The sequence below is a fragment of the Homo sapiens genome, chromosome 1 (genome assembly GCF_000001405.40).
Source record: "Homo sapiens chromosome 1, GRCh38.p14 Primary Assembly".
NCBI lineage: Eukaryota > Metazoa > Chordata > Mammalia > Primates > Hominidae > Homo > Homo sapiens.
Window position 1 is genome coordinate 216,594,129 of NC_000001.11, and position 14,221 is coordinate 216,608,349.

Below are 14,221 nucleotides of genomic sequence, written 5' to 3' on the forward strand. Positions count from 1 at the left end.
CTGGTTCATCTCTTCTCAGATGTGTGCCCTTTATCTCTTTGGGCCTTAGCTTGCTCATATGTAAAATGGGGGTAAAAATACTATGTATCTCTCAGACCCATGATGTCTAAATGAGATGAGGTGTCACTGGTACAAAACATGTTCGTTATTGTTAGCATTTACATTTGTATTACAAATATAAATACTCTCATCTCTGGAAATGAATGTAATCTAGAGACAATAATATTATTTAAATTTCTTTGAATACTATTCCAAATTAGAATATTTTAAGGAGAGCAAAATGCCTGAGAATATCTATTTGCTCAGTATTGCCATCAGCCCTATTGCATGGCCAGGGATCTACTCTAGAGGGAAGACTTTAGGCAAACTGTCTTCTATCAACCCTGCCTTTTAAAGTGGTCCTCTACCTCCATCTCATCAGCTCACTGGAGCACTCAGCATCTAGAACCAGCTAGTGAAATCTGAGCACTCAATTAACAATAAAGTGAAGTGAAAAAAATGGTTTGAGTTTGAATCACAGCTCTATCGTTTTCTTGCTATGTGACCTTTGCATACATAGTTCATTAACACCATTATCACCTTCCTCCTCTCCTGGAGACTTAGGATTTAGAAAGACAGCATCACTAAAAGACACATTACTTGGCACACAGCAGTCACTCAGTAAATATTAATTATCTATGGCCTTCATTTCACTCCCTTCTAGGAGGATGCACATAAGAAGAAAACAATTGCAATGCAAAGAAATTCGTCTTTAGTGGTAGAACTTTGGGACTCAGTAGTACCTTGGTAGGGAAGATATTTTGAGGCCTGGAGTATTTCTAGCATCTGTCATATCACAAGAGGCAACCACTTCAACCATCCTGCAGAAAGTAGACTATGGCTAGAGGTGATGTTTCTATAAACTCCCCAAGGAAAAATTCTGCAAGTACTTGTGTGAGAGCAGGAAATCTATCTCCCTTGCTCTATGAAAGAGGACAGGGACTTTCTTTTCTAGACAAATGTTTGAAAATGAAAAAACCAGTATGATTAAAACTAAACATTACATAGCACATTTTTAAAATGTTTAATGATAGAAAACATAGCTCATTTTTTCAAAGTTGATATTATTACCTGGGAAGGCTTACTTATGTTTAAAATTATCTAGTGCTCATGGCACTCAGTGCTCATCATGTTAAGAACTCAGGTTAGCTCAAAAATGACAGGGCATGATACATATAGAAGTAGGAAACTCCAACATGGCACAGCTGCTATATTCTTGCATAATCAATTATGATTGAATTTATTTATTTTTCCACTTGATAAAATATATTCTGGAAATGCATTGAGAAACATGCACAAAAAGAACCTGGTTAAATTATTTTAAACAATTAAATATCAAATAATTCAAAAAATAAACTGCTAGTATCAAATGTCAAATGCATAAAATGTCAATTTCTCGGAAAGGGTGCAGCACATTTCATTTCTATTATGCTTTTAGCACCTTTTCTCTATTTCTAGAGACAAATAAATTTTGAGGAAGCCTAATTAGCTGTCTATTCAAGCACAACTCAGTGAAAAAGCTAAGGGTATTCTTGGCTGTTTCCTCTCAACTTCTGATTCTTTAGAATGCTGAATTTATGCTTAAACTCCCTCAAAGACCCTGGGATCAACTGCCAATTTTATTTTCTACAATGCTGGATTATGAAAACACAGCATCAATAGCATTTTTTTTCCACATAATTTTGGTAGAAAAACTATAGGACTTTAAGAATAAAACTCAGCAACAAGTTGGGTGTTTTTAGCAGTGTAGAAGAAAAGACAAGGGTTTATTGCCATGTTTCATATGCATGATTTTGATGCATGCTGCCCCAAAGCCAATTCAAACAGCAGTCAGGGACTGCAGCAAATTCATTTACTCTGGAGAAGAACATGGGTTTCTTACGTTGCTTCCAACTTGAACAAGCCCCATCCCTGGGGTCAACTGGCTCACTGAGAAAGTCGAATGAGGAACAACATAAAACACGATCACTGCTCTAGTTTTCCCTAAATGCTCTAGGTAGCCGTCACTTTACCCTGTGTACACCGCATTCCCTTACTGCCCAAAGTAATAAAGACTTCTGTCACTGCGAGAGCTTTTCATCTTCAGGGCTTCTTTCTCCTCTCCTGATAAGACTGCCAACTCCACTCTCTGTAAATGAGCTCATGTGAACACTTCATTTTCAGTGCGTGAAAACAAAAAGGGCCACTGCCCAGCTTCAGAGATGGAGGGGGCAGTGCTCTCTCTTCAAAGTCAGAGGAGGATGTTTGAAAGGGATTGAAACTGACCTAGGGAGCCTCCCGTGGAATAAGGAAGTTAAAGCGGAGCCATTATACTCCTCCGCTAGCTTCACTTTTATTTTACAATGCCTGAAGGCTTGGGAGTGCAGGGAGGGAGAGTGGGAGGAGAACAGACCAGCTATCTCTAAACCAATTTCTGTTTGTGAACATTAAACATTTGCATTCACTTTGGCCAACACCACTAGCCAATATCAATGCTCCAAGTATATGTGAGCTGAACGTTTCACATGTGGGACAGATGGCTAAACCATTACAATGCAGTCAATTTCGAAATAAGTGAATCCCAGCTTAGGCTTCCTCGTCCAAACAGTAACTAAATTTAATTTTTTTGCAATCAGTGGCATATGTTTGCATCTGTCTACAATATGACTTGGGCCAAATCTGATCTGGCCATGGCATCCTGAGTACTAAGGCTATACAATTCCTAGTGTTAAATGTATTGTAAATACCAGAGGGGGCAGGTTAATTAATTAAAAATATATATTGGGTTTTTTTGGCCCTTTGGAGATCTACCATGTTTGTGATACAGGTAAGAGCTGCTGACCAACTACAGGAGTTTCTGTTATCCTTTTTAAATGTTTAAAATTTCCCTATCCAATAATAATAATAACAATAATAGTAATAAACAGAACCCACATTTACCCACATTTAATTGTCTATTACAGCTAAGAGAAATTGGCTTTACCTGTTGGCCTCATTATAGTCACCCAATTCCATTTATTCAAATGTGTACAATGTGCTTATTACGCACCAGGCACTGTGCTAGGCATGAGACAATACCAGAGCATTCTTTCCAGGGCTCACTGTCACAGTCAGGCCGGTACACAGGAAAATAATTACAGCCGTATAATGCTTGCATTTTAATAAAAGCATGGGCTAGACCCTAGAAGGAGTATAAGAAAGAAAACTGAACTCTTTCTGGAGAGGTCAAAGAAGGAACTTGGGCATCACTGTGTTGAGTTGCGAAGGTGTCTGTGCATGAAGAAGATGGAAGGATATTTCAGTCACAGAGAACAGCTGTGGCAGAAAAGCAGGAAAAAGCAGGATTTGGAACTGTGTTTTCTAACATGTGTTATGTAACTTAATTAAAATAAAATAAAATTTCAAATGCTGCTACTCAGGTACCCTAGCTGTATTTCAAATGCTTCCCAGTCACATGTTGTCAGTGACTATCATATTAGACAGTGGAATCATGGAACACTCCCATAACTGCAGAAAGTTCTATTTGACAGTGCTGATTTGGAAATGTGGATTACTGATAACTGAGATACTACAAAATGTGAAATGTATGAAGGGACTTGGTCCTGTAGATCCTGAGAAATCACTCAATGAAATGGAGATTTCAGCTTATAATACTTCTAGAGCCACTGATGGATTTAAGGAGTGACGTAGTGTGGATAAATGAAGGGGACAGAAAATGAGTGACTTGATCATACTCGTATTTTAGAAAGACCTTCATTCAACCTACAGTGTGAAGGGTGACACATATGTACATCCACATTCACATACAATATTCCACAGTATACCTATCAACCCATATAGGCTTTTCCCTTCTTTATTGTTTCAGTGAATAATAATAACAATAATTTACATTTATTAAATGTATATTGTGGAACATTCACTGCCCTGAATACTTCATACATATTAACTTACCAAGATCAAGGAATGGAAGGGCATCTTTGAGATACATGTTGACTTCTAAAGACCAATAGTTCAATTTAATCCTCCATTTATATTGTTTTATAGGAAATATAGAACTGTGAATAGAAAAACTGTAGAGAAACACATAGACAGGTTGAATCTATGGTGCAATTCATCCTGCCAGCTAAATTTAAGCTCTAAGCAGGTTTAGCTTGGAACCTCTGGTGGCTGAGTGGACTGTGGCTGCTACATGTATCTGCAAATAGATGTGGCATTTGTGGGAGTGCCAATAAAAATCTCTTGAACTGCATTAATGGGAACTTCTCTATATAGAATATTCAACAAAAATCGCTGAAAGAAATTGTTCATATGGAACAACCCACCTTGTGAGACTGTAAGAAATGAAAAAATGGAGGCAACAATTAGAAGCAACAATGAGCAGGGAATTCTCCAGTGACCTGCATCTTACTTAAATGGTGAATTGAGGTGGCTGGATGTCTGGCCAAATCTCAGCTTTCTTTGTTTTCTTGGGAAGGGTATTTTGCTCACCATCCTAATCACTTAAAGTCATGCTGTGCTCTCACAGCAAGTCAGTGAAATATGCTTTCTTCTTTAATGGCTAAAACTTGATCCAGGTTTGGCTGGAAAAAAAAAAGAGGCTTGATATGGTCTGGGATCTGGGTTTGCTTCTAAGCTATTTGTATACCTCATCAGTTTCCCATAATTCACTGAGTCAGTCAGTCAAAAAGAATTAATTTAATGCCTACTGTGTGCAGAGAAGAGCATATGGTATACAAAGACACAATTCTGACACTCAAAGCTTTTGAAATCTAGGTAAGGAAGAAAACATACCTATAGAAAGAAATATTAAATAATCAATATTTAAAATAATATGTTATAAATTGAATGCTTGAGTGCAAGAGGGATCTGGGAACTTAGGTGAAGTTATGGGTATGGTACATGTAGTTAAAAAAGAAGATTATCTGAAGGAGATTGGTTGCAAATCAGATTGCAAAGTGTCAGAAAATGAAAAATATTAGAGGTTTAGATATTCATAGGGGGTTCCAATAAATTTTTTCTGATTTATTTTATAATCAACCCACAATTAAAGATCTTGAAAATTTAACCAGAGACACAAGAGATGAAATATACCAAAGCTAGTACTGGTTCACAAGTCATTTCAAAAGAAAAAGTAAAACCACATCAGAAAGTATATGTCCTAACATCTCACAACAAGAAGAACTTTACACAGTGTACTTTCCTTACAATTTCTTGAAGCTTTGCTATTTACAATTTCTAATATAATTAATGGGGTGTTTATTATGCTTAATGCTAAAAATCCTCTGATCTAATTTTGAAAATGAATTATTCCACTTAACAAGGAAAAAAAATCCTTTCGATTTTTACCCAAGTGCTACAGTTCTCCAAGTATTCCATATTTTCAGCTATTATCCCTTTCTTACAAAGAGCCCACTTAATAATGTTCACTCTAACAACCTCATTTATTTTCCAGAAAATTAACTCAGTTTCAACCCTGATTAATGATTTCATCTAAATGAATCAAATTAAAAATTGAAAATTATATTTCAAAAGCCAAAGAAAAAAAAATTGACCATTTCCAGTTAACAAATGATCCTTTCAAATATTAAAAGATGACCATGAAGAGTGCGTGATAGTAATGAAATCTGGCTCGGGCCTGCTGCTTATCTGGAGTTCATGGAGGAGGAGAATTAACAGGAAAAAAAAAAAAAGAAAGAGAAGAAAAAGGTACCCTATGCATTTTTAACACGGAAATCCCTTGGGACACCAAAGTGACTTCCACTTAGGCTTCGCCTATAATCAGTGTACCAAAATAATATGAGCATTTCCCTGTTAATTAAAACTGGGCTGGAGATGCCCCTCAGCAGAAGGGGGATTAAGAAGTCACACACACTAATAGCCCCTGTTAACAAAACCTAAACCGTGCAAGAATGCTTCATGCTATGATGTCTTCTCTAGGAGCCGGAAGCAGTCCATGAGGAAAACAAGCAACTAATTAGGGAGAAACTTCTGGTCTGATACGTTATTTTTCTTTTAAATCCATTTTGGCCGGGGGTTGGGGAAGGGAAGGGTGACTAGGCAGAGCAGAGAGGATTTTTAGGACACTGAAACCATTCTATGTAATACTATAATGGTAGATACGTGTCATTATACATTTGTCAAAACCCACAGAATGTATAACACCAAGAGTGAACCCCCACATAAACTATGGACTTCTTTGGGTAATAATGACGTATCCATGCGGATTCATCGATTGTTAACAAATGTACCAGTCTACTGGGAAATGTTGATAATGAGGGAGGGTATGGATGAAGGGGGGCGGGTCAGGGGATATTAACTCTGTACTTTTTGCTCAATTTTGCTGTCAGCCTAAAAGTGCTGGGTTTTTGTTTTGTTTTGTTTTTTAACTTTTAAGTTCAGGGGTACATGTGCAGCTTGTTCCATGGGTAAAATTGTGTCATGTGGGTTTGCTGTGCAGGTTATTTCATCACCCAGGTATTAAGCCTAGTACCCATTAGTTATTTTAAAAATAAAGTCTTAAAAAAAAATCCCAAATAAATAAATCCACTCTTGAGGTATACAGATGACTGCATTTATCTGAAGTCCTGTGAAAAAACTTTACAATTAGGGACCATGTCGTTTTCACCCAGATTTCCGGATGTAATTCCGTGTTTTGAAATGTACGCACAAGAGTAAACAATGCAGAATGATCAGCCTCACAGCGGGTCACAGGACACAACCGCCGCGCTCTGGTTGGACGCAGGCTGCATCCTGTTTCCCGGACACATTTATTCAGCCCAATCTTTCCTGTCTGAACACAGACTGTTGATGATAAAATAGCATCTCAAATTATGAGGGAGAAAGAGCTGCTTCGGCGTTCCTCCCCGGTTCTCTGCCTGGATTGGGCTCCCGTGGGTTGCTGAGGCCCTCGCGGAGGCCTAGGAAGCCCGGCAGCGCGGGCGGCAGCAGCGGGTTGGGGAGCAAGGCCGGCTTGGAACGCGGGCTCCTGCCCACTGCCACCCGCAGGCTGCCCCGGGCTCCCGGGCGGGCGCTCGGCCAGGGGCTCTGCTCGCTCCATGGACAGCTGGGTGGAAAGGACGCCCCGTGAAGGACACCCGGCCGTCGGACCGCGCCCACCCCTGGGCCTCCCAGGGGCTCCCTCCGCAGACTCCCAGGGACTTCCTGGGAGCCACCGCGGAGGGCGCTGCGCGCGTCCGGAGCCGACGCCGGGCTTCAAACAGAAACCAAAGCCCGCTCCAACGCCGCGAAGGAGGGGGGCTCCAAGCATCCTAGAAAAGAAAGCTGGAGGGAGCGCATCAGAGACACAAGTGCGGATAAGACTTAACACATTTCCTGAAGAGGATTCCTTGTCGCGAGTTGTCTTGGTTATGACAGAGGAAGAAGACTTCAAAGTGAATAAGCAAGGGGGTGCCCTTAATCAGGGCAGAAATGTGGTGGCTTTGGGATTTACCTATTTCGTACAAGTTGCGTTCTTTTCAGTGGCGTATTTCCCAGGTCCCTTGCAAGAGCTGTTGGACCCACTCCCCTCTTGCCCACAAGTTGGAATATTATTTCATTAATCACAACAGGAGGCAGATGTTACTTAAGATTTAGAAAGAGAAATAAAGGCATAGATGAAGGGGCTTGCATCAAGTTCAAAAAAGAGTATTATGTTTATAGCTCCTTAATTATTATTGGTTATCTGCCAGGCTTTCTATAATATACTTTGTAACATTCTGGAATTTTTAAAAAGTACCCTACTTATCTTTAAACACTGAAATCCATTCAAAGCCCTACAACCGATAGGGCCTTTGGGAGCGTTATTAAAATCCTCTTAATTAACAACAACAAAGTGAAGGCTTAAAATGGTTGAATGACTTGCCCAAGATCACACAGCTAGGAAATAAGCATTGGATAAAAATGTATGGAATGTCTGAGTAAATCCTAGCCTTTCTGTGTTCTACTTAAATTCCTCAATTTTAAATATAGTTGTTATATCACACACAGTTAGGGGTATTATCCCCATTAGCAAAGAAAGTGCCGTAGTAAAGGCAGCTTTCAAAATTTTCAGGGATTTTGTAGAATCACTGAGGAGTAACTATGTTGTACATGGTTCCTCTTCCATTACATTTACTAGAAGAGGCTAAAGGGTCACACACCCTCACTTGTCATGAGCCTGAAAGACTTTGTGACTGTTCTAGGTACATACATGTAACAAGCTTTTGATACAAAACATAATGCGAAAAATAAAATGTTGTTTGTGAAGGCAAAGATTCATCAATACCAAGTATAATCTGTTTCTTTACATTTTTCAAACAATAAGACTGAGATAAGAAAATCAGAACTAGGGCCAACTGTAACAGGTGCTAATAGAATTTTTCCATGAACTATTGTGTCAGTTTAATCCCCAGCCTGACCTGGAACACTTTGGCCATTTTAACACCAAGCTCCCCGGATTATCTATTCTGAGTTAAATGTTCCCAAGTGGATTGGTGATTGTGCAGCGGAGAGAAGATCTGCAAGGATTATTCTAAAATTTCACAAGAATTTCCCTGACATACACTATATATTACTATGAACTATGTTTTCAAAATAATGATACAATGAATTGCCTAGCCAAGCAACATCTTCACAGTTTAACCGAACACTGAAATGATTTTCCACAAGCTCAATGTTCAGAAAATAAATGCAAATTGGCTATAAATTAATTTAGTCTTTAAATTAATACTTGATCAATAATCTGACATTGTTTTCATTGTCTACATGAAGAAAACTAAGACAAAACAGTTTTTCAGCTGTATTATAACTTAGTGTTAAACTACATCTATATAGCCCCATCTATATAGATGGAGAGACTCTTTTAATTCAATTGCTATAGATAGCAAAATCTAATAATAGAGATCTTAAAGCATTATCTTTTTACTTGAATTACTGAATTTAGTTGCTATCTACACTGATCAGAATACCACATTAATTTTCTTGATTTTATATTTGATATTACAAAAAATCCCATTTTAATGATTAAAGATGCTGAAATGACATTTTTGAATGAAATTAATCTATGTAGCTTAAAAATATTTCATTTTCATTAGCATTCCCTCTTATTTTTTTAACAATAAACTCCTTATTTTAAAATATAACTCAAAGCCCATGTTCTACACAAAATTTTTCAAAATTATCTCAGGCATCCATTCTCCAAAAGACTGATACAATCTGTGAACTGACCCTAACTTTCATTGAAGTAGCATGCAAATATTTGTTATAACTTTACCTATCTGCCTTATCTGGTTTGACTTAGCTAGATGTGGAAAGATTTGTACTTAATCCTCACCAGAAAAAAAGACACTATTGAATGCTAAAGACCCTGTGAATATTCTACAAAAGAGCTTTCATTGCAGATCAGTTTAAGTCGGAGACATAAGCAAAAGATAAAAAACCAAAGACAGTTATTCACTGACCTCAGTAATTTTCAAGCCATTCTATAAAACTTGGAGATTCCCATTAAAGAAGACAGAAAAATCAGCCGGGCACCGTGGCTCACGCCTATAATCCCAGGACTTTGGGAGGCCGAGGCAGGTGGATCACTTGAGGCCAGGAGTTCAAGACCAGCCTGGCCAACATGGGGAAACCACGTCTCTACTAAAAATACAAAATTAGCCAGGCATGTTGGTGCATACTTGTAATCCCAGCTACTCGGCGGGATGAGATGAGACATGAGAATCACTTGAACCCAGGAGGCGGAGGTTGCAGAGAACCTAGATGGTGCCATTACACTCCAGCCTGGGCGACAGAGACTCTGAATCAAAAAAAACAAAAAAACAAAAAAAAAAAAAAAAAGGAAAGAAAAATTGTTTAACTTATGCCATCACACCCTAGTCACACATTCTAGCATCCTGTGAGGAAATGAGGGCGTGACATTAAAAGAAAGAGTGTACATAAAATTAGGAAACTGCGGTTCCACCTGTGTTAGAGTCCAGACAGTGAATCGGAAACCACAGTAGGCACTTCAACAGGGAGAATTCAATATGAAAACTTTGGTCCAAAGGGTGTTGGAGAATTACAGGAGCAAAAACTGAACAGGGATTGTAACTACAGGAAGCAACTACTGCCTCTGGAAATTGTGGGAATAAAAGGAAGTGTTCGGCACATCAGAATCTAGAAGCTCAGTGAAGAGGGCCTGTTGGACTGAGACTGGTATCAGAGGAGTCAAAGCCAGTGGCCAGTGCTCGGCTTTCCCAAGTGCACAATGGGGCTTCATCTGAGAGTGTCACAGAAAGCTAGAAACTGTGCCAACTGTCAATGTCAGGGCAATGGGTCTTTAATAGAGTGGCACTGTCAGGAACAAGTTAATAGGAAACAGACACAAGGATACAATTCTTTCTCTCTCCTAGTGTCCTGAATCCCAGCCCCCCATATCACAAAGAAGAGCAGGTTTAGAGCTGAGAGACAATAGCTTAATAAGGGGCATATAGGCTTAAGAGAGCTTTCATAAATGGATCATCAACCTCATCTCTAAAAAACAGTGACCTTTCCATAAAAGTGCATCCTATGACATTAGAATGGGATTGGGTCACTTTCTTGATCCAATAATCTGTTGCTAATACCTAGCATTCACGCCCTAACCACCCTGCATACATTCTTTTCCTTGGCCTGTACCATCTAAAATATTTGCCTGTTGTTCCTTGATCTAAACATGCATTCTTGACCTTTTTAACTTAAAACCACAAAGTATATCATCATTTTTCACCAAATACACTGTAACATTTTTGTGTAGGATGAATTATCTTTGAAATATATTGAAACTCTAGCCCTCTGCCTAGCTTTAGGGCTTCTTTGGCTCATTACCAGATGGACAGGTGGATGGAAGGAGGGAGGGGGAGATGCTTATATGAGTGGGAGGTATGAATATGTGTGTACAATGAGGCTGTGACTGTAAAGAAACACACAGTGCAGAACTAGGCCAGTAAACGTAACCAAGAAACAGAGCTTAAGTTAGAACTTACTAAAGGAGTTTTCCATTTTCTTCTTTTTTTTGCATTAATATTGTTGGTCAGATTTGCAGTGTTATATGAAAATAGTACTATGGCGTGTGAACCAATTTACTAAACAAATAGCAGCTGTAGTAAAACATCTGTTTGGGAAAGAGGAAATATAAACTCATAAAATCAAATGAAGGCAATGTGATCTGTACTTTCACAATATGAGAAAACTAGACATATGGAGCAGTTTGCAAAAGATTATCAATCATTCTATTAAAAAAAAACAAAGTGTGAAACAGGTAACATTATGATCTTCACACAACACATTAGCCAGTATCTGAGTAAGATTTTAGAAAAGGGTATGAGAATGTCTCTCAGGAATGAGAATAGCATCAACATCTCCCTTACAAAAGGAAATTTTTAAGGTGTGAAAGAGGATTATATCTAAAAATAACTATATGTGTCTATGTATACTGTCACCAATAGTAAGATGATTGTTGTACTATAATTATACAAGATTAAGGTAATAATAACAAAAGGAAAGAAAAATTTTGTGTGGAACTCGGGAAAGACATTTGCTATATTATGTATAGATCTGCCATCTAGTTCATTAGTGCCAAAATGATTTGCTTTCTGAGGATCAATCATTAGAGGAACTCTAATAAAAATTTCAATGAAACTATGAAAGAGAAAAGTAAACGAAAGACTGGGTTTCATCCTTATGCACCCAATCTGCAAGAAAAGCAAAAATCAATAAAGAGAGCTTAAATTAAAAAAAAAAAAAAGACCCTTCTGAAGAAGCTGTTGGCTATCTTTTTTAACAACAAGAAAGCTGATTTTGTTTGTTTGCAATACTTTGCTGCCCCTGCTCGCCTTCTCTTTGCTTCACAGAGTTTAAGCTAAAACCAAAGAAAGATGTAATACATTCAAAAACAAAATCACATCACTGGCATAAAGCAAATCAGAGAGCAGTAATAAATGTCAGAGCTGTAACAGCAAAGGCAGCAGCTAGGTTCCTTCACTGCCCACCCCCAACCCCAACCACCACACACTTAAAAGTGAAATACCTAGCTGTTATCTTGGTGCCTGCAGAGCCTCCCCATTGTAGATTCAATAATACAAGAGGCTTCTTATCAGCAGCTGGGGTGACTGATTGGAGCTGTGATATGTTTAGACAATGCACTGTATTTAACTGAATTTACAGATGCCCCAACTCAGACGTGGTAGTAAACGCCAGAGACTAATAGGAAATTAAACATGTACAATGGACTAACTCCATTTGCTCTCACACAGTGTAATGTGTTTAGTTAACTTACTCATAGTCACACTTTATCTTTTTCTCTATGGATTCTCTGGGATATGTTTCAAATTGGCCAGAGATTAAATCTTCTTTTCAATTTTTTGTTACCATTTTATTGCCGCTTTCCCTTATTATTGGCCACTCTTTCTCTTGCAGAGATAAGCTAAACAAGATGACCCTCAGCACTCCCCCCACAACCCAATTATCAGATAGTCAGCAAGGAACGCAAGGGTACAGAAGATTCCATAATATTAATATTAATATAACATGAGAGGAACAAAAATCAGTCACTTATTTGAAAGCAATGGTGTATTTAGCTCATTTGAAATTTAAATGTGAATTTTAATGTACCTGGTATGTAACACATACATACAGAAAGAGACAGTGTGGGAGCAGCATACATAGGTCAGGTTGAGAATTATTTTAACTCTTCATTGTTCATATATTTGCTAGCAAAAATGGCTTCAAGTAGACATGTGTCTACATAACTGCACAGCACCACTGTTGAGGGGTGGAAAGGAAAAGATTTTCATCTGGTTAACAGAGAAAGGTAATTTATCATTAGATAAACCCACAGATTGATCTGTAGATATTCTAGGGAATCCTTGAAAGAGGCTGTTCACAGGGAACCCTCTTGTTATATAATAGCAATTGAACCCATAATGGTTTTGTTGTCCTTAGGAAACTGTAAAGAATTTCTACATTCATAAAATCATGTTACCTAGAAAGTATAAAAGAAATCTTGTCTATTCCAATGACATTCAGACTCCTGAGAGGGTTAAAGACAGTTCCAGCTGAATGCTGACCACAATCCCTACACCCCCATGACCCTGGCCTGGAGAAAAGTGGATGGAGTTAGATGTGGAAAAAACTGGCCACCAAAACTGACAATAGTACAGGTTTGACCATCATGACCTCTCTGTCACTTGTTTACATTTATTATGTAGACAAGCAAGAACACTGCGGCATCAGCCTAACTTACAAAATAAAAGTAAATGAGATCAGGGTGAGCACAATGGTCAGGAAGGCTGGACAGAGTGGGCGCTTGCACGGCAATTTACATGCTTTATATTTGAAAGAAAGAAACTGAATGAAGAGATGTTACAGCATCAACTCCGTGTGTGCATATTCATGCCTGTTTCTGAAACACCACTCCCTAGACCTTACTATAAAATGACTCTAATCTGATAGACCAGAGCACCCACGCCAGTAACCACAACCTGAATATTACATTTCCTTCTCCTTTATTCCCTATTTTCTCAGTGGCTATTTTTTACTGAGACCACAACTATTTTATTTTCAGAATTTTGCATCTAAGGAGAGGTACAAACAAAATAGAAAGGAAACATGTGACTATGATGATCAAATGATAAGTGCCTGAATATCATAATCCTTGCAATCAATTCTTTGCGTGGCTTTTTTAAAAAGCAAGGATGATAACAAATGAAAACACTGAAAGCACATGTAATCACACAAAACCACTAATAAGTTTATATAATTAAACGTCCCAAAGCATTATTTCTCCTAGATCACAATTTTACTCTGTTGAAAGAAGAGGGTGGCATGATATCAAGGAGTACTAATGTCATTTGAAAATCAAGTTATAATCAAATAACCATTATTCAGTAAAATGGACTTCATAGTAATCATTTCTTTCTATAACTGAGCAGTCCAATAAATGTTACTTCTCTTAATCAGTTCTGATTGGTATTTGCTATATGAGACACAGACAAATCTTTGACCAATCTTTAATTAGTATCACTGATGAAATATTTATTCTTTTAATTTGAATTTAGAAACCCAATAAAGCCATGTTTGCATCTTTTATCAACTTAAATATTATCCTCCTTTATTGCTTTTGTCATGACTGTAGATTCTGAAGATGTTCTCCTGAAACAATGCGTATTTCATGTATGCATAGTTGCCCTGGTCTCATTGCTTTTGG

The 14,221-nt window shown here is 38.0% G+C and overlaps 1 protein-coding gene across 56 annotated transcripts in view, besides 5 other annotated features; it reads right to left on the reverse strand.

The window, feature by feature from the left end:
- The window catches only part of ESRRG (estrogen related receptor gamma), a 634,457-nt gene that overhangs the window by 90,883 nt on the left and 529,353 nt on the right, over positions 1–14,221 (reverse strand). The window lies entirely within an intron of this gene.
- Positions 4,109–4,836: an enhancer, noted in NCBI's record as "OCT4-NANOG hESC enhancer chr1:216771579-216772306 (GRCh37/hg19 assembly coordinates)". NCBI's record gives its function as "activates a minimal SCP1, AML or CMV promoter by ChIP-STARR-seq in naive and primed H9 embryonic stem cells {active_cell/tissue: H9 hESC(naive and primed)}" and the evidence as "EXISTENCE:reporter gene assay evidence [ECO:0000049][PMID:30033119]".
- Positions 6,378–6,946: an enhancer, noted in NCBI's record as "OCT4-NANOG-H3K27ac hESC enhancer chr1:216773848-216774416 (GRCh37/hg19 assembly coordinates)". NCBI's record gives its function as "activates a minimal SCP1, AML or CMV promoter by ChIP-STARR-seq in naive H9 embryonic stem cells {active_cell/tissue: H9 hESC(naive)}" and the evidence as "EXISTENCE:reporter gene assay evidence [ECO:0000049][PMID:30033119]".
- Positions 6,792–6,891: an enhancer, noted in NCBI's record as "active region_2535". NCBI's record gives its function as "activates an Ori minimal core promoter by ATAC-STARR-seq in GM12878 lymphoblastoid cells {active_cell/tissue: GM12878}" and the evidence as "EXISTENCE:reporter gene assay evidence [ECO:0000049][PMID:35858748]".
- Positions 6,992–7,171: a silencer, noted in NCBI's record as "silent region_1817". NCBI's record gives its function as "represses an Ori minimal core promoter by ATAC-STARR-seq in GM12878 lymphoblastoid cells {active_cell/tissue: GM12878}" and the evidence as "EXISTENCE:reporter gene assay evidence [ECO:0000049][PMID:35858748]".
- Positions 7,272–7,371: an enhancer, noted in NCBI's record as "active region_2536". NCBI's record gives its function as "activates an Ori minimal core promoter by ATAC-STARR-seq in GM12878 lymphoblastoid cells {active_cell/tissue: GM12878}" and the evidence as "EXISTENCE:reporter gene assay evidence [ECO:0000049][PMID:35858748]".